The sequence below is a fragment of the Homo sapiens genome, chromosome 11, assembly GCF_000001405.40.
Source record: "Homo sapiens chromosome 11, GRCh38.p14 Primary Assembly".
NCBI classification, from domain to species: domain Eukaryota; kingdom Metazoa; phylum Chordata; class Mammalia; order Primates; family Hominidae; genus Homo; species Homo sapiens.
In genome coordinates, this window is record NC_000011.10 from 71221353 (window position 1) to 71249128 (window position 27776).

At 47.3% G+C, this 27776-nt stretch overlaps 1 protein-coding gene across 19 annotated transcripts in view, besides 5 other annotated features; it reads right to left on the reverse strand.

Annotated features, from left to right (window-relative positions):
* Positions 1 to 27776, reverse strand: part of SHANK2 (SH3 and multiple ankyrin repeat domains 2) — a 785381-nt gene that overhangs the window by 753499 nt on the left and 4106 nt on the right. For 12 of the 19 annotated variants that reach the window (NM_001441030.1, NM_001441032.1, NM_001441038.1 and 9 more), the window contains exon 2: positions 3345 to 3444. The exons of 2 other annotated variants lie outside the window; for them this stretch is intronic. The gene's annotated coding sequence lies outside the window, so the exon portion shown is untranslated. Of the gene's footprint in view, positions 1 to 3344; positions 3445 to 19443; positions 19571 to 22043; positions 22177 to 27776 lie in introns of all 19 variants that reach the window. 5 more of the 19 variants (NM_001441036.1, NM_001441026.1, NM_001441029.1 and 2 more) reach the window with 3 other exon arrangements.
* Positions 15631 to 15925: a silencer, noted in NCBI's record as "tiled region #1844; HepG2 Repressive non-DNase unmatched - State 15:Elon, and K562 Repressive non-DNase unmatched - State 22:ReprW". NCBI's record gives its function as "represses a minimal TATA promoter and a strong SV40 promoter by Sharpr-MPRA in HepG2 and K562 cells {active_cell/tissue: HepG2 | K562}" and the evidence as "EXISTENCE:reporter gene assay evidence [ECO:0000049][PMID:27701403]".
* Positions 22714 to 23458: an enhancer, noted in NCBI's record as "H3K27ac-H3K4me1 hESC enhancer chr11:70955112-70955856 (GRCh37/hg19 assembly coordinates)". NCBI's record gives its function as "activates a minimal SCP1, AML or CMV promoter by ChIP-STARR-seq in naive H9 embryonic stem cells {active_cell/tissue: H9 hESC(naive)}" and the evidence as "EXISTENCE:reporter gene assay evidence [ECO:0000049][PMID:30033119]".
* Positions 23459 to 24202: an enhancer, noted in NCBI's record as "NANOG-H3K27ac-H3K4me1 hESC enhancer chr11:70955857-70956600 (GRCh37/hg19 assembly coordinates)". NCBI's record gives its function as "activates a minimal SCP1, AML or CMV promoter by ChIP-STARR-seq in primed H9 embryonic stem cells {active_cell/tissue: H9 hESC(primed)}" and the evidence as "EXISTENCE:reporter gene assay evidence [ECO:0000049][PMID:30033119]".
* Positions 24203 to 24946: an enhancer, noted in NCBI's record as "NANOG-H3K27ac-H3K4me1 hESC enhancer chr11:70956601-70957344 (GRCh37/hg19 assembly coordinates)". NCBI's record gives its function as "activates a minimal SCP1, AML or CMV promoter by ChIP-STARR-seq in primed H9 embryonic stem cells {active_cell/tissue: H9 hESC(primed)}" and the evidence as "EXISTENCE:reporter gene assay evidence [ECO:0000049][PMID:30033119]".
* Positions 24947 to 25690: an enhancer, noted in NCBI's record as "OCT4-NANOG-H3K27ac-H3K4me1 hESC enhancer chr11:70957345-70958088 (GRCh37/hg19 assembly coordinates)". NCBI's record gives its function as "activates a minimal SCP1, AML or CMV promoter by ChIP-STARR-seq in primed H9 embryonic stem cells {active_cell/tissue: H9 hESC(primed)}" and the evidence as "EXISTENCE:reporter gene assay evidence [ECO:0000049][PMID:30033119]".

Here is a 27776-nt window from a genome sequence, read left to right on the forward strand (position 1 = left end):
CACAAGGCAGTGGGTGCCCAGCAGGAGACGGTGGCCGGAGCGCAGGTGCAGAGGACAGGGTCCTCACCCCAGTCCTTCCCTGGCAAATGCCGCTTGATCCCCTGTTTCCCCACCCAGGAGGGTGCTCTGGAGCATATCCTCTTGGGTCATGTCATTAATCATTAGGGGGTGCCTGATTACACCCACAAGTGGAAAATATAATTTGAGACAATAGCAAAGAACACCTCAGGAAAAACCACATCTTCAAATTCATCTAATCTAGTGTCTTCAACAGTCAATGAGAATTGCAACATTGTCAATTAATTCCGTTACTCCTAAGTGGAACCCTTCTGCCACTAATTATGCGATACCCTGGCTGCTCACTAAATTACCCCTCGAGGGCAATTTTCCAGTTTTTTTCTGAGCAGCAAGGGGAGGTGATCGGTAGACAAGGTTAGAAACCCAGGATGTCTGCAGGTGCCTAGGCGCTGGGAGTCTCCACTGTAAAATGACGCTGCAGCCATGGCACGGGGGCGTGAGGTGCCCACAAGACAATGTTCATGATCAATGAATGGGGGTCTGAGGACATTGGGAGAGCCACTGAGGAGTAGGGTCCCTTGGTGGCTCCTGTTAGGGCGGAACTGGGACACCTGAGGAAGCAGGAGAAGCCGCTGGAGGGTGAAGCGCCCAGGTGAGCATGGCCGGGTTGGTGATTCTGGCTCACCCTTCCCTGCACCAGGACCAGCACCGCCTGGGCTTCCCAGATCATCGACATCCCCAAGAGGAAAACCCCACCCACCCCACCCCATCCAGCACCACCATCCTGCCTCCAGCCGAGGGGACTGATCTTCCCAGAAAGCAGCACAGCTCCCCTGTCCCAAGGTCACCAACTGTGTGGGCTGAAAGTGCCCTGGCCAGAAAAACAAAACTAAAACAAATTCACTCCCAGCCTTCGTGAGTTGCCCAGACAAGTTTTTCCTTCTCTCCTTCCCATTAATCGCAGCCGCCAGGGTTGCAGGGTTGCAGGGCTGCTGCTCTGGAAGCAAGCGCTCCCCATCACTTGTGAGCCAACGGCAGCTCCCGAGTGACAAGCAAAGGCTCAACCCAACAGCCTGAGTGTTCCTTTCTTACGAAGCTCCCAGAGGAGCTAAGAAGGGAGTTTCAGGGAGACAGGTCCCAGCTGTGAACCGAGGCCCAGCTGGCCGGACGCAGGCGCCTTCCAAAGGCAGAAGCGCATGCACGCCATGGTTGTTAGCTCTGCCCCAGCCCCGGGAGAGAGAATGAATAAATAGCAAGCCCCAAGTCCAAGCTCCGAGGAAGCCAAAGGCAGCTGACTGCTGACAACATCTTATGGCTCAACCCCGAGCCTGCAGGGACACGTGCTCCTTCCTGGGTGGACAGGGACTAATGTCCTTCCCTCTCTCAGTCTGCTCCTGCTCTAGGATAAAGGGGTGGACCACCTTCTCCAGCAGGGTCACACGTTCTCATATGCATCCTTGTGACACCTTTCGAGGAGGAACTGTGTACTGGGCCAGTGCTTCTGCACAAGGGACAAGTATGCAGCATCGGCCACAGACGAGGGGGACTGTGGAGGATACAGACCCAGCCCTCAGCCAAGACAGCCAGGGAAGGCAGGAGCACCCTCCACGGAGCCGTGTCACCATCCCTCCATCTGGGAGGACACTTGTCCACATCTGGGAGGTGAGTGACAGCAGAGGCTAGAGAGGGAGCTCAGAGATTTGGAGGGACATGCAGGTGCAGAGAAGGGCTTGAACATGGGGAGGGAGAGAGTCCGACTGCATTTCAGACGGGATTGGTGAGCTGTAGAGCTGGAGACAGGAAAACCAGGCAGGTGAGGCCGCCCAACTGCGATGGTGGCCAGGACCAGGGTAGTCCTGCATGGGGCCGTGACTCCGACATTCTGCTCCTGCCTGCCGCGTTTAGGACCCCAGGGTGTGCATTCTCATGGGGTGGTGGAAGGTGAAGCAGAGATAAACGATCAGCACAGCAACAGCCTTCCATATGCGTGGCTTCAGTTACCCTGAACTCAACCAACCATGCGCACATTGGAAATATTTTTTAGTTGCATCTGTACCGAACATGTACAGACATTTTTCTTGTCATTATTCCCTAAACAATACAGTATAGCAAACATTTACATATCATTTACATTGTTTAGGTATCATACACAATCTGGAGATGTTTTAAAGTATATGAGAGAAAGTACTTAGGTTATATGAAAATACTGCACCATATTAAATCAGGGACTTGAGCATCCATGGACTTTTGTATTCATGGGAGGTCCAGGAACCAATCCCCTTTGGATGCCGAGGGATGACTGTACGGCCCTTCCACAGTATTAAGATCTCATGGTGCACACAATTAGGAAAGTATATCTGACGCAGCTTCTTGGGCAGGCCCGTGCAGCTGAGAGGCCCTTCCCTGCACGGGGCACCACCAGGTACACCCCCATCCACGTGAAAATGACGGAGAGGAACTGGAAGCGCCTGCACCACTCATCTGTCTGCAGCCACACTGTCTGGGTCTGGCATGGGCACGTTGGTGAGGATAGCTCAGAAGGATTGAGAAATTGCCCACAGGGCTCTGGACCACACAGATCTGTCTTTATGGTCCCTGGTATACAAGGCCATGCCAGGAGGCAAGGGTCCTATACCAGCAGGAGCCCAGTGTGTGGTCAAGCCAAGCTGGATTCAGCCACTCAATACCCACGTGACCGTGACCAAGTATCTAACTGCTGAGAGCCTGTGTCCTCACTGAAAATGGTGGTAATTCCACTTTCTGCATGGAGCTGGTGGTAGTCAGCGTCAACGTTGATAAGATACTTGGCAGACGGGGCCTTTAAGCACATTACAGGTGAGGTGATACCAGCAAGGCACAGAGGAGGCGCTCAAGAATAGAGCCACTGAGCACCAGCCCACGATCTGCCCTCTTCAGAGCACACAGACCTGGGCTTCACTGCACCCTTCCCTGCACGTGGGCATCACGAGGCGCACCCCCGTTCATGTGAAAATGACGGAGAGGAGCTGGAAGCACCTGCACCACTCATCTGTCTGCAGCCACCCTGACTGGGTCTAGCCTGGGCACACTGGTGAGGACAGCTCAGAGCACGGTCCAGTAGCCAGAGGCATAGTCCCTTTCATATCTCGCAAGGTCACACAAGCGGGCCACCAAGGACAATGCCATCCACCCTCTTCCCACCCAAACACAAGCACAGGGCACACAGGGCCTGACAACAAGAAACTTAAAGTCCCTGGCCACAGTGCAAAGGTGGGGAGGTGGACCAAACCCAGACAGTGGCCACTGGCTTGCAGGTAACAAGGACAGGGGAAAATGTTATAACTCACCAGAGGTGTTGGGAGACTGAGCCTCACAGATGGCCTCTTAGAGCAGGAACTGTCTGTATTCTAGAGGGCCAAAGCAGGGTGCCTGGAGAGATTTCCAGACCTGTGGAGAGATAATGAGACCGGGGCATGGTCAGACACAGACTGTTGAGAGGCACATGTTAAAACTTCATGTAGATTCTGATATTTCTGTGCTAAAAACCAGGGATCGAACTTCTGCTTCCGGGCAATTGGAGTAGACACATTTTTCCCTATTCCTCACACAAAGCACAACTAAAACTCAGGATGCTGTATATAAAACAAACCTAACACTCTGCAAGGTGGAGAGAAGGCAGACCAGCCAGGGACATGGTGTGAGCTCTCTGGGTTTTCTTCTTGCCTCATACATCCCAGACGTGGTGCTGAATAAGCCAGCAACCCAGAAAAGCCAACAGGAGCAGGAACAGTACCACAACAAAAGCATATTCTCTTTAGTCGAAAGACTAGGAAAGCGGCAGCTAACAGGGCAATATATTTAGACAACAGGTCTACTCCAGCCAGACACTGCAGAAAAATCTGTGGCCTCAGCCCCACCCACAGCAGCAAAGGCCGAGTAGGGAGTCTAGATTTCCACCCTGTGTGGCTATAATGAAGCACCAAATCCCTGCCAGCGTGGCATCAAATAGAGCAACGGAAGGAGCTAGCACATTCATCCCCACCAGGCAGTAACAAATCCTCCTTTCACTCCGGCATTAGTATAGGCAGCATGGGGAGCCTGGATTTCTATGGCACCTGTCAGTAATGAGGTGACACCCCTTTCCACCTTCCCTTGTGGAAGTGGCGTCAGGAAAAGTTAGCTTACAAAAAAAGTTTAACTAAGACTAAAAGTCTCATAACATAATACAAATATGTCCAAGTTTCATTAGAAAATCACCCATCAAACCAAGGATCAGGAAGATTTCAAACTGAAAAAAAGAAAATCAATGGATGCCAACATGGAGGTGACAGAGATGTCAGGATGATCTGACAAAGAGTTGAAAGCAACCATGATGAATGCTTCCACGAACAATTAGGAACATGCTAGAAACAGATGAAATAACAGAAAGCCTCACCAGAGCAGTGCCTTTCACCAAAGATATAAAAAAGAATCAAGTGAAAATGATAGAACTGGCCGGGCACGGTGGCTCATGCCTGTAATCCCGGCACTTTGGGAGGCCGAGGTGTGTGGATCACTCAAGGTTAGAAGTTGAGACCAGCGTGGCCAACATGGCAAAACTCCATCTCTACTAAAAATACAAAACTTAGCCGGGTTGGTGGTGGGCACCTGTAATCCCAGCTACTCAGGAGGCTGAGGCAGGAGAATCACCTGGACCCAGGAGGTAGAGGTTGCAGTGAGCTGAGATCATGCCATGCACTCCAGCCTGGGCAACAAGAGTGAAACTCCATCTTACAAAAAAAGAAAAGAAAATGATAGAACTAAAGAATACAGTAACTGTAATAAAAGACTCAGTGGATGGACTCAACAGCAGAATGGAGGGGACAGAGGAAATAATCAGTGAACTGGAAGACAGAACAACAGACATTATCCCAACTGAACAATAGAGTGAAACAGACTGAAAATAAATAAACAGAGTCTCAGGGAGTTATGGGACAATAATAAAATACCTAACTTTAAATGTTTGAAATCCCAGAAGGAGAGAGAAGAGAGGGAGGGTCTGAAAAAGTACTCAAAATGTCCCAAATTTGCTGAGAGATATAAACCTACAGATTCCAGAAGCTGAACGAATCCCAAATAGGATAAACCCAAGAAAATTCACACCAATATACATCAGAATTAAACTTCTGAACACTAAGAAAAAATATTGAAAACATGCAGAGAAACCAATACTTACATTTCTCATCAGAAACTGTGGAGACCAAAAGAAAGTGGCACAGTAATTTTCAAGTGATGAAAGAAAAGTATTCTCAATCCATAATTTTATACCAACAAAAATATCCTGTAAGAATGAAAGGAAAATTAAGATAGTCTCAGATGAAAGGAAACAAAGGAAATTTGCCACTGGCAGACCTATTCTAAAAGAATAGCTAAAAAGAAGCCTTTCTAAATAAAAAAATAATAATAAAAGAAGGAGTTTTGGAACATTAGGAAGGAAAAAAGTATGGTAAGCAAAATGTTTGGCAAATATAATAGGCTTTCCTTCTCAAGTTTTATAGATTATATTTGATGGTTGAAGCAAAAATTACAACATAATCTATGTGGTTCTAAATATATAGAGCAAATATTTAACAAGTATAAATGGAGAAGGGTAAAGAGACAAAGAAGATTGTATATTTCACTCAAACTGGTATTACAATAGATGATAAAATTAAGTATACATGATATAATGCCTAGAGCAACCACTTAAAAAGCTATACAAAGAGATATACTCATAAACACTACAGATGAATCAAAATGGAACCCTAAAAAATGTTTAAAAATGTTCAAATAACCCACAAGAAGGCAGGAAAAATAGAAACATGAAAACCTGAAATAACAAATGTAAGGCCTAATGTATCAATAATTGCATTAAATGTAAATGGTCAAAATATACCAGTTAAAAGACAGAGATTGGCAGAGTAGATTTTAAAAGATACAATTAAATGAGGTCTATAAAAATTTGCTTCAAATATAATGCCATAGGTAGGATGAAAGTAAAAGGATGGAATAAGATACCTTATACAAACAGAAGTCAAAAGAAAGCAGTCATGGCTATGTTAATATTAGATAAAGTAGACTTCAGGGCAAAGAAAATACCACAAAGAGAACATTACATAATGTAAGAGAGGACTCCACCAAGAAGACATAGTTATTCTAAACGTGTACCAAACAACAGAGGAGCAAAATACATGAAGCAAAAATGGATAGAACTGAAGAAAGAAGACATAAATCCACACTTATAACTGAATACAACTTTAACAAACCTTTCTCCACAATTGATAGAATAGGACAGGAAAATCAGCAAGGATACAGAACTCAGTAATATACCCAATCAACAAGATCAAAGTGATAGTTGTAGAACCTTCCTCCACTGTACTACAGCAGAATTCACATTCTTTTCAAGTGTTCATGAAATTTATAGCATATATTAGAAAAGAAGAACAATCTCAAATCAAATTCTAAGTTCCTACCTCAAGAAGCTAGCAAAAGGAGACCCAAACAAACCCAAAGCAAGCAGAAGGAAGAAAATAATAAACATATGAGTGGGAAAAAATGAACAGGAAACAGAAAAACAACAGAGAAAATCAGTGAAACAATAAGCTGACTCTTTGTAAAAGTCAATGCAATTGACAAAACTCTAGCAAGACTGACCAAGAAAAAAAAACAACACAAATTACCAATACCAGGAATTAAATAGGAGACACCATTAAAGACCCTGCAGACATGAAAAAGATACTAAGGGAATACTAAATCAGCTCTACACACATAAATTTGACAATGTAGATGAAATAAAGCAATTATTCAAGAAATACAAACTACTTCACCTTGCCCAATTTGAAAAAGGTAATTTGAATCATTTCCTACAACTATTAAGGGAAGTGAATTCATAATTTTTAAACTCCAGTTTTTTTGAGAAAAAGAAATCTTTAGACCTAAATGAGTTCACTGGAGAATTCTATGAAATGCTTAAAGAATAATTAATACTAATTCTACACAATTTCTTCCAGAAAGTAGAATAGGAGAGAACATTTCTTAATTTATTTTATGGAGCAACTACTACCTTGATACCAAAGCCAGAGAAAATGAGCACAAAAAGAAGATTACAGGCTGGGTATGGTGGCTCATGCCTGTAATCCCACCACTTTGGGAGACCGAGGCGGTTGCATTACCCGAGGTCAGGAGTTCAAGGCCAGCCTGGCCAACATGATGAAACCCTGTCTCTACTAAAAATACAAAAATTAGCTGGGCCTTGTAGTGGGTGCCTGTAATCCCAGCTATTCGGGAGGCTGAGGCAGGAGAATCGTTTAAACCTAAGAGGCGGAGGTTGCAGTGAGCTAAGATTGTGCCATTGCACTCCAGCCTGGGCGACAAGAGTAAGACTCCATCTCAAAAATTAATTAATAATTTTTTAAAAAAGAAGATACCTTATACAAACGTAAATCAAAGGTCTTCATGAATATAGACACAGAAATCTTTAACAAAGGAGTAACAAATAGAGTTCAGCAATATATCAAAAGAATTATATACCATGACTAAATGGCATTTATTCTAGGGATGCCAGGCTGTTTCAATATTTTTTAAAAAAATCAATCAATGTAATCTACTATTATCAACAGAAAAAAAGATCATATCAATCAATGCAGAAAAAGCATTTAACAAAATTCAGCATCTTTCTTTGAGAAAAACTCTCCCCAAAACAAGATGGGAATTTCCCCCACTTGATAAAGAACATCTGCGAAGAAACATGAGCCAAGATTCACCAAATAAAAACAAAATGCTTTCCCCATATGATCAGGACCAAGGCAAAGATGCCTGCTCTCACCATTCTTACTCAACATAGAGCTGGATGTTCTAGCAAGTGTAATATGGCAAAAAAACAAACAAACAAAGATTGGAAAAGAAGGAACAAAATTGTCCCTATTTGCACACAGCATGAAAAATCACAAAGAAACAACCATAAAACCCCAAAACCTCCTGGAAATAATAAATGAGTTGAGCAAGGTCACAAGACACCAGATCAACATATTAAAATCAATTGTATTCTCTAGCAATAATCATGCAGATAGCAAAATTAAAGATACAATATCACTTATACTTGCTCAAAAAATGAAAGAGTTGGCTGGGCGCAGTGGGTCATGCCTGTAATCCCAGCACTTCTGGGAGGCCGAGGTGGGTGGATCACGAGGTCAGTAGATAGAGACCATCCTGGCCAACATGGTGAAACCCCGTCTCTATTACAAATACAAAAATTAGCTGGTGCATGCCTGTAATCCCAGCTACTCAGGAGGCTGAGGCAGGAGAATAGCCTGAACCAGGGAGTTGGAGGTTGCAGTGAGCCAAGACTGCACCACTGCACTCTAGCCTGGCAACAGAGTGAGACTCCATCTCAAAAAAGAAAAAAAAAAAAAAAAAGAAAAAGAAAAGAAAAGAAATAGGTATAAACCTAACAATACATATTCAGGAACTGTATGCTGAAAGCTATGCAACACTGATGAAAACAAATCAAAGATCTAAAAAAATTGAGAGACATACCCTGTTCATGGATTGGAAGACTCAACATAGTCAGAAGGTCAATTTTTCCCAAACTGATGTGCAGGTGATGATGATGAACACAATTCCAGTCAAAATCTCAGCAAAATTTTTTTGTAGATATGGACAAGATTATTCAGCACTTTGAGAGGCCAAGGCAGATGGATCACTTGAGGTTAGGAGCTCGAGACTAGCCTGGCCCAACGTGGTGAAACCCCATCTCTACTAAAAACACAAAAAATTAGCCAGGTGTGGTGACGCACACCTGTAAGCCCAGCTACTTGGGAGGCGGAGGCAGGAGAATCACTTGAACCTGGGAAGCAGAGGTTGCAGTGAGTTGAGATGCCACTGCACTCCAGCCTCCAACCTGGGCAACAGAGCAAGACTCTGCCTTAAAAAAAGCTGAGTGCAGTGACTCACGCCTGTAATCCCAGCACTTTGGAAGGCCAAGGCGGGTGGATCACGAGGTCAGGATATCAAGACCACGGTGAAACCCCATCTCTACTAAAAATACAAAAAATTATCTGGGTGTGGTGGCGGGCACCTGTAGTACTAGCTACTCGGGAGGCTGAGGCAGGAGAATGGCGTGAACCCGGGAGGTGGAGATTGCAGTGAGCCGAGATCGTGCTGCTGCACTCCAGCCTGGGCAACAGAGTGAGACTCTGTCTCAAAAAAAAAAAAAGAAAGTATATGGAAAGGCAAAAGAACTAGGAAAACTAACAGTTTGCAAACAAAAAAAAAAATGGGAGGAAATCAGTATACTCAGCTTCAAGATTTATTATACAGTATAGTAATCAAAGCTGTGTGGTTCTGGTGGAGGGACAGGCACATAGCAATAGAACTCAATACAGAGCCCAGAAAAAACCCACACAAATATGCCCAACTGATTGCTGATGAAGGTGCAAAAGCCACTCAATGGAGGAAGGACTGTCTTTTCAACAAACGATGCTGGAGCAATTGGACATCCATCAGCAAAACAATGAACATCAACCTAAGGGTCATGCCTTATACAAAAATTAATTCAAAATGAATCATGAACTTACATGTAAAATACAAAACTACAACTCTTAGAAAAAATGGGAGAAAATCTTCAGGATCTAGAGACAGGAAATGAGTTCATAGACCCAATGTAAAAAGCACAATCCACATACAAAAATATTGACAAATAGGTTCTCATCCAAATTAAAAACTTTTGCTCTGAAAGACCTGCTGAAAGGAGAAAAACACAAACCATAGAGTGGGAGAAAAATGTCTGCAAACCACATATTTAACAAATAATTCGAAATAATATGTGTCTAGAATAAAGAACTCTCAAAGCTCAACAGTTAAAAAAATGACAATCCACTTAAAAGAGCAAAAGATAGAAAAAGACATTTTTCAAGAGGATATACAGATGGCAATAAGCACATGAAAGATGTTCAACACACCAGCTATTAAAGAAATGCAAATAAAACAAATATGACCATACACCTATCAAAACAGCTAGAATGAAAAATGGTGACACCAATTGCTAGTAAGAAAATAAAGAATCACATTGCCGGTGGAAAACCTGGATCTTACACGTTGCTGGTGGAAATACAAAATGGTACAGACATTACAGAAAACAGTGTAGCAGTTCCTTAAAAACCTAAATATGTAACTCCCATGTGACCCAAAAACCACACTCCTAGGCATTCGTCCCACAGAAATTCAGACTTATGTTTACGGGCCAGGTGCAGTGGCTCACACCTGTAATACCAGCACCTTGGGAGGCCAAGGTAGGTGAATCGCTTTGACCCCAGGTGTTCAAGACCAGCCTGGTCAAGGTAGCGAAATCCAGTCTCTACTAAAAATACATAAATTAGCTGGGCATGGTGGCATGTGCCTGTAGTCTCAGCTACTTGGGAGGCTGAGATGGGAGGATGGCTTGAGCCGGGGAGACAGAGCTTGCAGTGAGCCAAGATCATGCCACTGCACTCCAGCCTGGGTGACAGGGCCAGGTGTCTTCAAGGAAAAAAAAAAAAGACAAAGAAACCTATACACTAATGTTTATAGCAGCTTTATTCATAATAGCCAAAAACTGCAAACCACCCAGATAGCCTTCAGAAGCTCAATGGTTAAACAAACGGATACATCCACACCATGGAACATTACTCAGCAATAAAAAGGGAAGAACTCTTGATACACAAGACCTGGGTGACTCTCTAGAAAGTTGTGCTGACCAAGGAGGGGAAAGCCAATCCCAAAAGGCTACTTACTGTGTGATTCCATTTCTGTATAATTACTGAAACGACAAAATTACAGAGATGGAGAACAGATGAGTGGTTACCAGGGCTTATAGAGCAAGTAGGGGTGGAAGGAAGTGTGTCAGGCCATAAAAGGGCACCATGAGGGGTCCTGGTGTGGACAGCAGCATTTGAATCTCGACCGCGTCAACATCAGCATCCCGGCCAATACTATCGTACTGACCCAGGACGAGACTATGGGGGTAAACTGGGTATATCTCTGAACTATTTCTTACAACTGCAATCATCTTAAAAATATAGTTGGCCCTTAAGCAACACAGGTTTGAACTTCTCAAGTCCTCTTACACGTGGATATTCTCCCACCTCTGCCGCCTCTGAGAAGGCAAGACCAACCCCTTCTCCTCCTCCTCCTCTTTCCCCCCTCCTCTCCTCCTCCTCCTCCTCCTCTTCAGCCCACTCAACATGAAGACAATGCAGATGAAACCTTTACTACGATCCACTTCCACTCAGTGAGGAGTGAATGTATTTTCTCTTCTTTATGATTCTCTTAGTAACATGTTCTTTTCTCTACCTTATTTAAGATAAGGTTATTTGTTTGTATAACATACAAAACATGTGTTAATGGACTGTTTATGTTATCTGTACGATTTCCAGTAAATAGTAGGCTATCAGTAGTTACATTTTGGGGGAGTCACAAGTTATACCTGGACTTTTGACTGTGTGGGAGTTGGAACCCAACCTCTCCATTGTTCAAAGGTTAACTGTAAAAATTTTAAGTCTTTTTAAAAGCACACTGTGGAAAACAAAAGAACAAAACTTTCACACAGCTTCAATGAGAGGCAGCAATTTCACTCCTAGGCATACAACTAAAAATAATAAAACATACATCCACACAAAAACATGTAGGCCAGCCACAGTGACTCACACCTGTAATCCCAGCACTTTGGGGGGCCGAGGTGGGAGGGTGGCTTGAGCCCATAAGTGTGAGGCCAGCCTGCAGGTACAGGAGACCCCATCTCTACCAAAAAAAAAAAGTGTATATGAATGTTCACGGCAGCATACCTCATAACAGCCCAAAAGTGGAGGTAACCCCAACATCCCTAAGCTGAGGAATGCATAAACATCTTGTGGTCCAGCCTTAAAATGGAACGTGATTCAGCCATCAAAAAGAATAAAGGCCTGACCCAGGCTACAACACGGATGAACCTCGGTAACACGATGCTAAGTGAAAGAAGCCAGTCACAAAGGATCCCATTTTGCACGATTCCATTTACGTAAGATGCTCAGAATGGGCAAACTCACCAAGACGGGAGACAGATTAGTCGTTGCCAGGGGCTGGGAAGAGGAGGGAAGATCAGAGTGGGGAGCAATGCTGATGGTTTTGGCGTCTTTATTGGGGGAATAAACATGTTCCTAAATCGACTCCGATGGTTGCACAATCTCCCTAATTTACTAAAAAACACGGCACTGCAGGTTTTCAAAGGGTGAATCACAATGTTATGTAAATTATATCTCAACAAATTCTCTAAGAAATCCGCAACTGGGTTCTAGGAAATTTTAACGGCATCTGTTAAAGGGGGATGCTCCTTCCCCCAGTAGCGAATAACTGAATTACTGAACTATTTAAAATGTTGGCCTGCAGGCCAGACACAGTGGGTCATGCCTGTAATCCCAGCACTTTGGGAGGCTGAGGCGGGAGGATCACTTGAGGTCAGCAGTTAGAGACCAGCCTGACCAACATGCAAAACACCATCTCTACTAAAAGTACAAAAATTAACTGGGCGTGGTGGTGCACGTCTGTAATCCCAGCTTCTCGGGAGGCTGAGGCAGGAAAATTGCTTGAACCCGGGAGGCAGAGGCTGCAGTGAACCAAGATCATGCCACTGTACTCCAGCCTGAGCAACAGAGCAAGACTCGTCTCAAAGATAAATAAATAAATAGAGCCGGGAGTGGTGGCTCATGCCTGTAATCCCAGCACTTTCAGAGGCCGAGGTAGGCGGATCATGAGGTCAGGGATTTGAGACCAGCCTGGCCAACATAGTGAAACTCCCTCTCTACTAAAAAAAAAAAAAAAAAAAAAAAAAAATATCAGCTGGGTGTGGTGGTGCGTGCCTGTAATCCCAGCTACTCAGAAGGCTGAGGCAGGAGAATTGCTTGAACCTGGGAGGCGGAGGCTGCAGTGAGCCAAGACCATGCCATTGCACTCCAGCCTGGGCAACAGAGCAAGACTCATCTCAAAAATAAATAAATAAATAAATAAATAAATAAATAAATAAATAACAACAAAATGTTAGCCTGCAGATGCACCTCTATTTTTGGAGGTGCTCATCACTCTTACAGAGGTGGAAACCATCATTGTGAGGAGTTCTGAAACAGCTCTGGGACCCACAGGAAATGCCCCCCGCCCCAGACTGGTCCTCCACGTGCTGGACTCCGAGTCGGGGGGCCTGTCTGTAGGCAGCCAGACCCAGCCTGCCCGAGCCTCGGTCCCCTTTTCTGGAAGGTGCCACAAAGCAGGGGCCTGGTCTCTGGAGCAGCCCACCTTGCCTGACCCCAGCCCCTTCCATGCCTTCCCCACTGCCCGCATTCGAGCTAAGTCTGCGTCCTCTTCTGTCAAGGAGGGATGAGTGACCACACTCATTCCAGAGTCCCGGGCACTGGAGGAGCATGGCCGGGTGGTCCTGCTGCCCCACAGGCACCCCATGAACGGAGGGAGGAAATGTCACACCCTCCCCCTCTAATATTCGAAACATGTATACAAATGTTCACAACAGCACATTTTACAACAGCCAAAACCCAGAAAGAACAAAACACCCACCCACACACAATGGAGACACGAAACATGAGCTACCGTACAACGGAGTATCTCCAGCCATAAAAAGGAAGGAGGCACTGATCCACGCTACAACACGAATCATCCTCTGTGGGATAAGAAATACACTGGGCTTTGTCCCCAGTTCCCAGCACAGAGATCCTAATACCCTTAGAATTTCCTGAGTAGCAGAAGTGAGTCCCTTTTGACCCCACTGGAGCTTATGCTAATGAGGTGACTTAGGGTGGGGGGCCCCAGTCTCAGACTGGGACTGGTCACCAGGAACACAGGTGTCTAAGAAGGTGGGAACTTCTGGCCCCACTAGCTGAGCTCCGGAAGGTACCGGAGATTAAGCTCTATAAAAACTCTTGCACAGGACGGGCACGGTGGCTCACACCTGTAATCCCAGCACTTTGGGAGGCCGAGGCAGGTGGATCACCTGAGGTCAGGAATTTGAGACCAGCCTGGCCAACATGGTGAAACCCTGTCTCTACTAAAAATACAAAAATTAGCCAGGCATGGTGACATGCACCTGTAATCCCAGCTACTCGGGAGGCTGAGGCAGGAAAATCACTTGAACCCAGGAGGCAGAGGTTGCAGTGAGCCAAGACCATCCAATGCACTCCAGCCTGGGCAACAAGAGTGAAACTCTCTCTCGGGGAAAAAAAAAAAAACGTTAACTTTATGTTACCTGTATTTTACCTCCATAAAGGAACTAAAAAGAACCTCTCATTCTCGACGGCTCACAAGGGTTCAGGATCCACTTCATGGAGCAAGGGGAAAACACTGAAGGCAAAAGGCCACCATGTACAGGCATGCAGCAGGGACAGAAGAGCCTCCGATCTTCAGTTTTTGTCAGAAGCCACCTCCTGAGGTCTATGTGACACAGCCTGTGGGGAGTGGCTGCCGTGACGATGGGCACACACTCTCTCACATGTGTGTGTACACCATCTCCCATCCTGCCGGCTGCCTTTGCTGAAGTCTGTGCCAGAAGCAATGTGACTTTATCAGATGCACCCATTCTCCTGCTGAGAAAACTGAGGCCAGACCAGCAGGTGCTGGCGGCAGAGCCAGGACCAGGAGGAAGCCAGGCTGGCCATTCCGTTCTTCCTGCTCAGCCTCCTCCGCCCCCTCCATGGACACTGTTTGTTTCAAAGGCAGGACCGGACTGAGGGTGATGTTGCTCGGGACCCGTCTCACCATCCATAGAACACTCCTCATTCTCCACATCCCCAGCTCAATGGCCAGAGAAGGCAACGGGGCAGACTGAAATTAGCTTATCAACACACACCATGCAAAATTATTCAGGAACAAAATTTAAAAATGCATTATGCCTCCTGGTTGAACCACAAAATGCTGTGACCAGTAAAAGCATCAAAACCCAACATGAGGGCGGGCGTGGTGGCTCATGCCTGTAATCCCAGCACTTTGGGAGGCTGAGAAGGCTGGCAGATCACTTAAAGTCAGGAGTTCTAGACCAGCCTGGCCAACATGGTGAAACCCCATCTCTACCAAAAATATAAAAATTAGCCATGTGTGGTGGCATGCACCTATAGTCCCTGCTGCTCCAGAGACTGAGGCAGGAGAATTGCCTGAACCTGGGAGGTGGAGGTTGCAGTGAGCCGAGATCACGCTCAGCTTGAGCCTGGTTCCAGTAGGCAACTTACAGAACCATGACCTAAATAAATCAGGGTCAGCAAGAGACCGCCTATGGGCCAATTCTAGCCCAGGCCTGTTTTTATAAGTAAAGTTTTACTGGAATACAGCTGTGTCCATTCCCTCATGTATTGCCTTTGACTGCTTTTTTGGAGACAAACTGTACAGCACATAAGCACAACATTTTTACTCCAGCCTGGTTGATAGAGCGAGACTCTTGTCTCAAAACAAACTTACTTTAGCTTGGGTGACACAGTGAGACTCCATCTCAAAACAAACAAATAAACAAAACCCAATGTGGCACCTATGAGGTCTTTCTGTGCCCAGAGGGCAACACTGCAGGCAGCGGCCGGGAGGGACTTGGCGCAGGTGGGACTGCGCTGCGGGCCTGGGAGGCTGTCACAGTAATGGCTCCAATCAGTCATACCTCCTGGATCTAGCATTTTGGGAAGTCTTCTCCCACAGTGACCCTGGAAATGGTCACCGTTCGCTCTGGCCACATCAATAAACCCGAGGGGACTGCAGCAAATGTGATGCAAGCAAATACTGCAGACCATGGCATCCTGAAGCTCCCCCTCTTGCTGCCCTTGGGAGCCCAGAACCACCAAGTAGCCAGTGGGCAATAAGGACTGAGTCCAGGGACTGAGCCCGGCTGTAGTGGGCAACTTGCAGAACCATGAGCTAAATAAATCAGGGTTGGCAAGCGACTGCCCAGGGGCCAATTCTAGCCCCAGCCTGTTTTTATAAGTAAAGTTTTTATTGGAACACAGCCATGCCCATTCCCTCATGTATTGCCTTTGACCACTGTTTTGGAGAGACACTGCACAGCACGCAAGCACGACATATTTACTATCCAGCCCTGAAATGAACAGGTGTTTTACCCTTTGTCTGGGGTGGTCTGTTATGCAGCAAAGGTTAACTAACACGACCCTCAACTTAACAGTGGCTTATTAGATAGCTGTCGTTATCTCCAACCTAAAGATCACAAAGCCGAGGGCTGCAGCGAAGGATCCAGTCACTTGCCCAGATCACATCGTGGCACTTACAGGGAGGTTCCGGCAAAGCAGGAGTTAATCCTGTTTGTCTAACACCAAAGGCCCCAAGCCCACCACAATGCAGGCTTTATAGGAGGGCCCCTAACTGAATCACTAGCTGTAGAGCCTACCCCATCTCCCCTTCCCAGGCTCCCCACCTCCTCTCTCTCTCTTTGGTAAAAGACGGCAGGATGAGATTTCTGATGAACAAAGGTTCATCCATGTTAGGAAAAGCCACTGAGGGCCACGAAGGCCGAAAAGGATGAACACACACCACTACCCAGGCTGGGGTGTGGTAGAGCAGCCCAGCCACCTGGAGTTCCCATGGGATAAGGGGGCCCCCTCCCAAGGGGCTCTCCCTGTGACACACAGACTCACCTCTGTCCCCAGGCCCTGCATACATGCACACACGGACTGAGGGTGGGACTCAGGGGGCCCCCAATGTTGCCGATGTCCCTTGCAAGAGCTGGGAGGCTGCTGCTGGGCACCCCATCATCCTGAATCCCTGAACCCTACGCACTCATGATGCCCACGTGGGAGGCTCTGCAGAGAACAGGTGGAGACCCCAGCATTCCCTGCTCTGCCTGTAACAGGACCTGTGTGCAAACCTGAGGTCTCAACAGGCCAGTGGGCAGCCCTGACAAGACAGGCACTTTATAGACCCAACAATCCAACACAGATAATGCAAACATCACCACTAATGACAGTAAGAACAGTTGGCGGTACGTGGATGCTTACCATAGTCTCAGCTTTACATAAATTACCTTATTTAATGCTCACAGCTACCTGAGATATGTTAGTACCCTCATTTCAAGGATAAGAAAACCAAGGCCCAGAGAGGCCAACTGGCCTGTCCAAGGTCACACAGCAACACAGCAGAGCTGCTCTGCACCGCAACGTACCACTTACTGAAGCAAGGAAAATGAACCCAACACTCCCCAAAGCCCAAAGATGTCGAGGTAAGAGCGGAGAGGCCAGAGGCCCCTCCTGGCCAGTGCTATGCTCCCTCTGTGGCCCAAATTCTCCAGGCAGATCACCCATCACCACAGCCTAGAGAACAGTGTGCTGAAACACAGTGACACTCAACTCTGCTGGGCAAATGCACTGTCTGTGGCCAGAGCTTGCTCGAGTCAATCAGCAGAAGCGTTGAAGAGCTGGGGCCCTCTGTGTCCTCTCTGTCCCTATGCTGACTGCACCTGCCACAGAGGACTCTCCCCAGAAGAGGAGCTGTCCAGACACACAGTCACAGGGACAGACTTCATTCATGGGAAGATGTAGGGGTGGGTTGCCCCTACACACCTGTGGGTGTTTCTCGTAAGGTGGGACGAGAGATTTGGAAAAGAAAAAGACACAGAGACAAAGTATAGAGAAAGAAATAAGGGGACCCGGGGAACCCAACTCACGGTTTCACAAGCATTTTGTTCACAAATGCTCAGGGGTCTTGAGCAAGGACTGGCTGTCAACAGATGACCGGGAGGGGCCGCCAGGCAGGCCAAGAGGGAGGACTCACTGGAGTGAAGGAGATTAAATGCTCCCATCCCTTTCTGTTCTACTGGTTGTAACACGCAACATGCTACATGGGCTCAAAGCCCCAGCCAATGCACCTCTCTGGAGCTCAGTTTCCCCTTCGGTGAAATGGGCATTAAAATACTCCCAGAGAGCAACTGGTGATTCCATGAGACCATATGCACAAAGCTCCTGGCTCACAGCAGGTACTGAAATGTCCTCCAACAATGTCTGCAGATAATACGTTAATAATGATAATGATGATGACTGACTAAGCTACCTACAAAGATACAGGTCACTCTATGTTATTACTGCACTGTTAATGGTAAAAAAATTTTTTTTTTTGAGACAGGGCCTCACTATGCTGCCCAGGCTGGAGTGCATTGGCACCATCTCAGCTCACAGCAGCCTCGACCTTTCCAGGCTCAGGTGATCCTTCCACATCAGCCTCCCGAGAAGCTGGGACTACAGGCACACACCACCATGCCCAGCTAATACTTGTTTTTTGTTTTGTCTTGTTTTCTAGAGACAGGGTTTTGCTGTATTGCCCAGGCTGGTCTCAAACTGCTCTTAAGCAAGCCACCTACCCACATCGGCCTCCCAGGGTGCTGGGACTACAGGCATGAGCCACCATACCTGGCCAAGAAGTCATTTTTGCCTCTACATGTGGAGTGTCCTGCAGCTGGCTGGATGGTCTGTGACCTCAGAGGCATTTCCTTTCGTTCAGAAAATCACCCAACCCACCCCAGGCCACTAAGCCCACCAGGCACAGGCTACGTCTCGCAGGGCGTCTGCCAGGTGTCTCAGGCAACCACACATCCCCGGGAGCTGGGCAAACACCAGGCAGTGGCCAGAAAGCCGTCTGAATATCCAAGGGTCTCCATGAATGTTCAATAGTAATATGATACTAATTCTAGACTGCTTCTGGTAAGAACCTCGTTCTTCGGGAGAATGAACTCCAGAAGCTATTTAACCAGGCTTGGTCTACAAAGAGCCTGCCACGGGGTACTTGGAGGCTTGTCAGGATAGGGATTCTCGGATCCAGCATAAAACCTGCTGAAAACCCGCTGCGGGACCCAGACACGGTGTATCTTCTCCCGAGGTCCATTGTTCTCCAAGAGGTTTGGACCTGGACTTTCCAGAGCCAGCAGTGCAGAACCCTGATTAATTCTCAATGAGCTCTGGGGTCCTGCCCACACTCGGGTCTCTCTGAGTGACAAGCCGTGACAAGCTGTCCTAGTCCATCTTCTCTCCCTAGCCCCTCTCCTGTTCCTCCAAACAGAGTCTTTGCTGCTAACTCAAAGGAAGCACATCAGCAGGAAGGGGGCTCCCTTCAAGGGTGAGAAGGTGGCGGTGGAGGCGGGGACACTGCAGGCCAGGGGGCCAAGCAAGAAGGGGCAGACCCCAGCCCCTAGAGAATGAAGGTTACAAATCCAGGCTGCCCCATAGCAATATAATTGGAGTCACAAATGTAATTTTAAATTTCCTAGGAGACACATCAAAAAAATAAAATGGGCTGGGCATGGGGGCTCATGCCTGTAAATACCAACACTTTGGGAGGCTGAGGTGGGAGGATCGCTTGAGCTCAGGAGTTTGAGGCCAGCCTGGGCAACACAGGGAGACCCCTCTAAAAAAACAATTAGCCAGGTGTGGTGGTGTGCACCTGTAGTCTGTGTGTCTGTGGTCCCAACTCCTTGGGAGGCTGAGGTGAGAGGATTGCTTGAGCCACGGAGGTCCATTCAGAAAATGGAAAGCTGAGTGGTCGATGAACCGGAACTGGGAGCAGCTTTCTATGAATCAGAGAAAATGCAAGTTAAAAGGAGACACCATTTCCCACGCATTAGACTGGTAAATATCAGGAAATACCAAGTCTTGCTGAGGAGGAGGGGCCCAGGGAGTTCTCACACCATGTGGGTGGGATTGTAACTTGGTACAACCCCTGGGAAAGCAATTTGAGAACACTGGTGAAAGCTAGCTCTGTGCACGGTGAAAGCCCCGGGCTAGGCAACTTCTCCTCTAAGGAGGTACCCGGGGAAGCCCCGCCAGCCCTGCATAGAAGAATGTTCCCTGCAGCACAGTCTGAAAGAACAAGATCCTGAAAACAACCCAAATGTCAACAGGAAGAGAAAGAATAAAATGCGGTTAACCATTCCATAGAATGTATAAACTGAGCTACATGATCAACTCAGGGTGGATTTTTTTAAGTGACTATTAAGGAAACATCAAGGCAAAGCTTCCAGCGAGCGGGAAGTGCCCGGAAGCCCCGCTTCCCCTGCCCCACACAGGCGACCCAAGGCCCCATGGGACAAACAAACACGTACCTTCGCCAGCAACTGCATATGAGATCAGCAAATGACCCATTGCACAATCAGCCTGCGTTTAAGATCATGAGGCAACCGGAAAGCATCTAATCAGTTAATCAGCTACATTTTGCAGGAGACACTCTCCCCCCTGCTACTGTCTCTGGTCCCTGTTTTTCTTGGGATCCAGCTCTAGGCTGGGGCTGAACCCACAAAGATGAGACACCCCCACCAGGTTCCCAGGGAGCAGCACCTTGCCTCACTGGAAGACACCAGACATGGGAAGGAGTCATGTCCCACAATTTCTCCCACACTCAGGGTCACCCCTACTTTCTCCTGAGACCCATGAAGAAAGGTGGGGCCTCCTTCTGTGAGAAAGCAGCCTAGGCTGGAGCGAGTGGGTAAAAGATCTCAGCTTTAGTATCTCAAGACCAGACGGGCCTGGGGCTGGACGCTGCTTTTGAAGGTGTTTTCTAAAAGCAAGGACTCAAGATACTTGCACAACCATGTTCGCAGTAGCATTATTCACAACAGCCAGAGGGTGAAGCCACCCAGGTCCTCAAGGATGGATGAATGTATAAACAAAATGTGGCCCATCCACACAATGGAATATTACTCAGCCACAAAAAGGAAGGAAATTCTGACACACGCTACAACATGGATGAGGCTTGAGAACATTATGCTGAGTGAATTAAGCCAGACTCAAAAAGACAAACACTGCATGATTCCACTTGGATGAGGTCCCTACAGAAGTCAAAGAGACAGAAAACAGACTGGTGGTCGCCAGGGGCTGGGAGAAGGGGGCTGGTTTGCTAGTGTTTAGTGGGGACGTAGTTTCAGTTCTGCAAGCTGAAGAGTTCTACAGATACATGGTGACGATGGCTGCAGAGCACGATGAGCATCCTTAATGCCTCAGAACTACACACCTAAAAATGGTGAAAAGGGTAACTTTTTATGTTATAGGTATTTTGCACAATTTATAAAATGTGCATTGGGAAAAAAAGTGCTCTCAATTTCCACTGAACTCTTCCTGTATCACACACCGCTTCCTTTACCTCCTTTAAGTGTTTGCTCAAGGACCGCTACCTCAATGCAGCTCACCCCGACCATCCTGCTAAAACAGCAGCCCCCCTGGCTCCCAGCCCCCACCAGCAAGCTCTCCTTTCCTCCCACACTACATCACTGCTTATTTATGATCTCCTTTAATTATTGTTTGCTCCCCTGGCGAGGATGTCGACCCTACAAGGGCAGAAATATTTGTCTGTCTGGTTCACTGTTGTATCCCAGAGTCTAGAGCAGCCTAGCAGACACCTGCAGCACATGCCACAAAAGACGGCAGAATACTCATTCTTCTCAAGGGCACGTGGAACATTCTCCAGGAGAGGCCTCATGCCCGGCTATAAAACAGCCTCATTAAACATCAGCAGGACTGAAATTATACAAATAATGTTCTCCAACCACAATAGAATGAAATTCGAAATTTATTTTACAAATGCACAAATATGTGGAAATTAAACAGACATCTAAATAGCCAATGGGTCAGAGAATAAACCACGGGGAAATTGGAAAACACTTTGAAACGAGTGAAAAAGAAGACAAAACACATCAAAACTTATGGAATACAACTAAAGCAGTACTTAAAGGAAATTCAGATCTGTAAATGTCTATGTTAAAAAGAAGAAAAATCTCAAATCAATAACCAAAACCTTCCACCTTGTGAGAGTCAGAAAAAGAACGGGAAACTGAAACTGAGCTAGCAGAAGGAAGGAAATAATAAAGGTTAGGGCTGAAGTTAATGAAATCTAAGCTAGAAAAGCAATAAAGAAAATCAATGAAACTACAAGTTGGTTATTTGAAAAGATCAACGAAATTTACAAACCTGAGCTGAAATGATCAAGAAAAGAAGGGAAGACTCAAATTACCAAACTCAGGAATGAAAGAAGGGACATTATTACCAACTTACAGAATTAAAAGGAGTCAGGCCGGGCGTGGTGGCTGATGCCTGTAATCCCAGAACTTTGGGAGGCTGAGGCGGGCGGATCACGAGGTCAGGAGATCAAGACCATCCTGGCTAGCACGGTGAAACCCCGTCTCTACTAAAAATACAAAAAAATTAGTTGGGCCTGGTGGTGGGCGCCTGTAGTGCCAGCTACTCGGGAGGCTGAGTCAAGAGAATGGTGTAAGCCCGGGAGGCGGAGCTTGCAGTGAGCTGAGATCACGCCACTGCACTCCAGCCTAGGCAACAGAGCAAGACTCTGTCTCAAAAAAATAATAACAATAATAATAATGAGACGGTGCTACAAACAACTACATAGCAACCACATTAGAGAAACTCACATGAAGTGGACACATTTCTGGTGGGACACAAACTAACAAACTTGACTCAAGAAGAAACAGAAAATCTAAAAAGACCTATGACAAGCAGAGATCCAATCAATAATTTTAAAAGTTTTCACAAAGAAAAGCCTAGGCCCAGATGGCTTTATTGGTGAATTCTACCAAACATTTAAAGAAGAATGAAGGCCAATTTTGCATAAACTTTTCAGAAAAAAATGGAAGACAATGCTTCCCAAGTCATCTTATGAGGCCAGTATTACTCTGATACCAAAACCAGACTTCAAAAGAAAACTATAGGCTTCCTTGGGCAGCCAGACACCTACAAAGTCCTCTCCACTCTCCTGTCTACACTTGCAAGCCTGCCTCACTCTATAAATTGGCCAGGCTGCTCTCTCAGAGTCTCCTAAACTGCCTTAGGCTCTGCCAGCCTCCTTGACCCCACAGCCTGGAAGGTGCCTCTGCATGCTCCCACCATCCTAGACCCCACAATCAGAGGGCCTGCCCCTGGGGTCGGAACCAGCTGGTGGCTGTCTGAAGCCCCTGACTAAACTCCACAGACATATCCTGAACGACAAGAAAAGGTACATGCATCATTCAAAGCACCCTTTGGACCACATGGCACAGCCAGCTTTCAAACGGGACCCATGCACTGACAAGGCGGATCACACGCTCCTCCCAGAGGCTCTCAGCGTGCAGCCCCGGGAACCAGCCTATTCGAGAGATCTATGAAGTCAAACCATTCTCATCATAACACTGAGATGGGAGCTGCTTTTTCAAGCTCATCCTCTCCCAAGTGCACAACGGAAGCTACAAAACTTGTGATATTGCAACAAGCTGACTGCAGGAGCAGATACGGGAACCCAGCTGTCTTCCATTAAACCTCACAGCAAAAAGACCACAAAAATGTTAAACAATGCCACTCTTCTCACCAAGTGTTTTTTTGTTGTTGTTGAGATGGACTGTCACTCTGTTGCCCAGGCTAGAGTGCAGTGGGGCAATCTTGGCTCACTGCAACCTCCGCCTGCCGGGTTCAAGTGATCTCTTGTGCCTTAGCCTTCTGAGTAGCTGGGACTACAAGTGTGCCCCACTGTGCCTGGCTAATTTTTGTATTTTTAGTGGAGATGGGGTTTCACCATTTTGGCCAGGCTGGTCTCGAACTCCTGACCTCAAGTGATCCACCCGTCTCGGCCTCCCAAAGTGCTGGGGTTACAGGTGTGAGCCACTGCACTATTTTTTTTCCTCACTCTGTCACCCAGGCTAGAGTACAGTGGCGTGATCACGGCTCACTGCAACATCGACCTCTCAGGCTCAGGTAATCCTCCCACCTCAGCTTCCTGAGTAGCTGGGACCACAGGTGCGTGCCACTACACCTGGCTAATTTTTTATTTTTTGTAGAGATGGGGTCTCATTATATTGCCTAGGCTGGTCTCAAATTCCTGGCCTCAAGCAATCCTCCTGCCTCAGCCTCCCAAAGTGCTGGGATTACAGGCCTGAGCCACCTCGACCGGCCTCACCAAGTGTTTTTCTTATTTTGAAAATAGTTGTTATCCATAAAAACACATTATTTATACCAACATGTCATGAGTTTATTACTATTTTTAAATGCATTAATAATTAGATATTTGTAAATTCTAATAGCGTAAATAACAATAGATTCGTGCTCATACATAAAAAGCTTCTGGGTCCTTCAAAATGCTAAGAGAGCAAAAAAGATTCCTTAAGCTAGAAGTCTGACAACCACTGTGCTACCTCATCTGCTTTACCTGAAAGTGAACAGAAAAATAAACTGGTGTGCCACCCAGGAGGCAATCTGGAGGCCGGGGAAGCGACCGGTGCCTTCTTCTGCACGGTGGAGTGGGCAGCCGCCAGGTGTGGATCCCAGCTGGGCCACACGACCTTCGGCAAGTTCAGCCACTGGAGCTGAATGACCCTCGAGGGAGGGAAAGTCCAGAACCAAGACGAGGGGCAGTAGCGACGCCATCGGGTCAGTATCTTCCCCTGCCAAAGTCCCCTGGTCCATGCTTGGGGCCACTGTAGGACCTTGAAATGCAGACAGGAGCAAGGCGTGGTCCCTTTCCTGGGGGACCTGTCCACCTCGTGAGGAGGGGTCAGACAGGAGCCCGGCTGGCCCAGGGGCAAATGCCTCTAGTTTGCAGGCCCCTGTACGGGAAGAGGGGAGTGGAGCAGATTCTTCAAATCCCAGGGACATTTGTGCGGGGTGGCAGGAAAAACATGGACAGGAACGGCTGAGCCCTATGCTCTCAGGGGTACAAATGAGGCCACAGAAGCATCCCCCTCCACTCCCCAGGAAGCCTGCATTCTCCCCAGGGAAGGAATCCAGGGCAGGATTTTCAGGAAAGACAGGCTTGGAAGCTCATTTCCCACCTCCCAGGAGCCCGGAAGTCTGTGTCAGCTCCAGGTCTGGAAACCCAGGATGCCCTGCACCCCATTCCTTGGGCCCTAAGCCTCCCAGGACCCACCCCAGTGGACCAGGGAGCAGACTGCCAGCTGTCCAGACTCTTGGCCATTCCCCACCCCCACCGAGGACTCTAGGTGCTGACTCTGGATTCTCCTTGAGAAGAGGAGGGGACTGATGAGCCGGAGTGAGGAAGACGTGGGGCAGGACACCCCCAAGTCTGCAGGGAGGCAGCAAAGCCTGGCAGTATGCAGAGCACACACCTGGCATCACATGTCACTGCCTTCACGTAAGTATCATCACTGTCCCCAGGTAAGAATCACCTGCAGGACCTTGAGTACAGGTGTAATCTTGTGAACTAAGATCTCCCTTGCAGGGGGCTTCAAACTGAGGTGCAAGGACCCTTTCCACGTAGACCCAGCTCAGTCTAAAGGGTAGCCAAGTCTTTCCTGAAATTGCTCAGTGGAGAAAGGCCTTGGATCCCCTGCCCACCTCCCCTCCCTAACATCCCTGAGGCTCTTTTACATAAGAAAGGCATAGCTATCCCCCGGAAGCTGGTGAGGGGGTGGTGCAGCTCCAGGTGAAGGGCCCTCCTGATACCAAAACAAAAGGGCTAATGCAACTAGGGCTTCAATTAAAACACCAAAAACACCCACTGCCTTCTCACTCAGAGAGGCAGCTCCAGTAACAGCTCCCCTTTTCCATTTCTAAAAATCTGTAATATATTTATAGTTTTTGACCAACTGCGCCCCAGCAATGACTGTACAGCTTTTTCAATTCAGAAGTAATTTTTTTAAATACTTAGCAACTCCAGGTCATGGGAAATTTTATGAAAGTCAATTTATGTATATTTTTCGTGCAGAGAAGTATGCTAGGTTGATTAATAAAAGACCCATGAGCATAAAAGTCTATTACATTAGGATAAAATTCTTTGGGGAAGTGGCTGTATAAATTCAAGAAAAGAACGATGAAAATGTCCTAAAGCTCACTTACGTATCCGTCAAGAAAAAGTGGCTGTGAGTCACGATGGGTTTATATCACAGTGGGTAAAGAGTCAGGCAACAGTTCCTTTTAAAATATCGATATTTACCTCACAGAGGTACCGTAGCCTTTACAAATATTTAAACCTATAAAGAAAAATTTTAGACGTTGACTTTAAAATGTGTGAGAAGCTTGGTAAATGATGAATGGCACAATCTGAAAGGAGTTTACTGGCAATTGTTTCAGCTTTGCTGGATATTTGAATTTTTCATAAAAAATTGTTGCAGAAAATGTATGAGAGAACAAGCTGTTTTTTTTAAAAAAAACAACACTTTCAGGGACAGACAAAAAAAAAAAAATGGAAGAGGCAGGCCCCAGCCCAGCAGGGCCATGGCAGAGCTGCAGTGCTTATGACCTCTAATGCACGCCTCCTGGGGGGTCTCTGGTGAGGCCTTTCTAAGTCCAGCAACTCAGGGCTGCTCCAGCTGATCTTCCTCTCCCTCTGGGGGAGCTCCCGTGCTGCCTTTCTGCTGCAGCAGAATTTCTGGGACGGGGAGCCAGGAGCCCTTCTGCATTCCACCATTTGGAATCTGCAGCCTCAGATTGGGAGTTTGTGGCCTAATTCCATTCACACGCCCCTCACTGAGCTAACCCCAGAGTCGCTACCATACCCAGCAAGGACAATTTTAAAACACTGTCCCCAGTCGTGCTCTGGTGCAGTGCCGGGTTTGGCAATGACATCTGGCAGCCAATCGGGGAGCCCAGCATGTCCCTGCTGCTGCCAGCAAACTCCTGGCAGCCCCACAGGCTTTTAAGAACTTAATCTCCCAGGGAGCGAGCTGCGTTTCAGCCAGTCCCTCCCTGAAGGCCCATCCCCGGCATATGTGCATCCAGAGAGACCCAGGCTATGGTCCCTAAACCCAGGGCAGGCTCTGGGTAGTGGGCATGGGCCCATTGTCCCCCGCCCTGCAAAGAACAGAAACCCTAGAATGCAGGGAAGGCTTGCATCAGAGGCGACTGTACCCCAAAGCCCAGCATCAGTACTGGCGCCATGGCCAAGGAGACAGCCGTCCATCAGCGGCATCAAACCAGTCCTTGAATCTGCCTTCAACAATGGAAAACGTGGGGCACATCAAGAAGTATGATGAGAAACTGGTTTTCACCTGCTGACCGCAGCGCGATTTCACAGCACGGGAACCAGAAGACTAATTTTCTAACCGCTGCCTGGCGGCTTTCTCCAGCTGGGCAGCGTGCATTTAACCACCGGGCGGTGTGGGGTCAAGGGCTCCCCTACCCACTAGCTGTGTGGGCTAAGGCAAGCGGCTTCACTCCTCTGAGCTTCAAGCTTCTGATCTGTGAAATGGGAATCGTAATGAATCGGAGCTGGCTCATTGGACTTCTGAGATTTACTGAGGGAATAAATAGCAAGAGTGTGGCACTAATGCCAATCAAAAGGAAAATGCTCGGTGAGAGTCTCACTACCTGCGCTGCAGCTCCTGACGTTATTATTGTGACTAGCGGGTGGCTCTGTCCCCACCCTGGGAACAAGGACTGGGTCATTCTGCCAAAGGCCCATGTTCAGTCCCAGGAGGATGCAATCAAACAACCCAGACCTCTTCCAAGGGTTTGTATCCCCCCACCCCACCCCACGCTGGGTTGGGGACCCTTTCTATGCCCTGCAGCACTCGATGCTCACCTCCATCACAAGCCCTGTCACAACACGGACTAACTGGACTGTCCAGTCACGCCTCTTCCTCCCCATTATCCTAGAAGCTCCCGGAGGCAGCCCTTGTGGCCAGTCCAGGCTTGGATGTGGCAGCAGGCCCTCAGATGATTATTCACGCGGAAAGAAACAAATACACCCTAGATATCCTCTGACCATGAGAGAATGACAGGCCTCTCATTTTGGGTGGGAGGTTAGGTGCAGTGGCCAAGTCACAAAGGTCACTTAGCCCTGGGGGG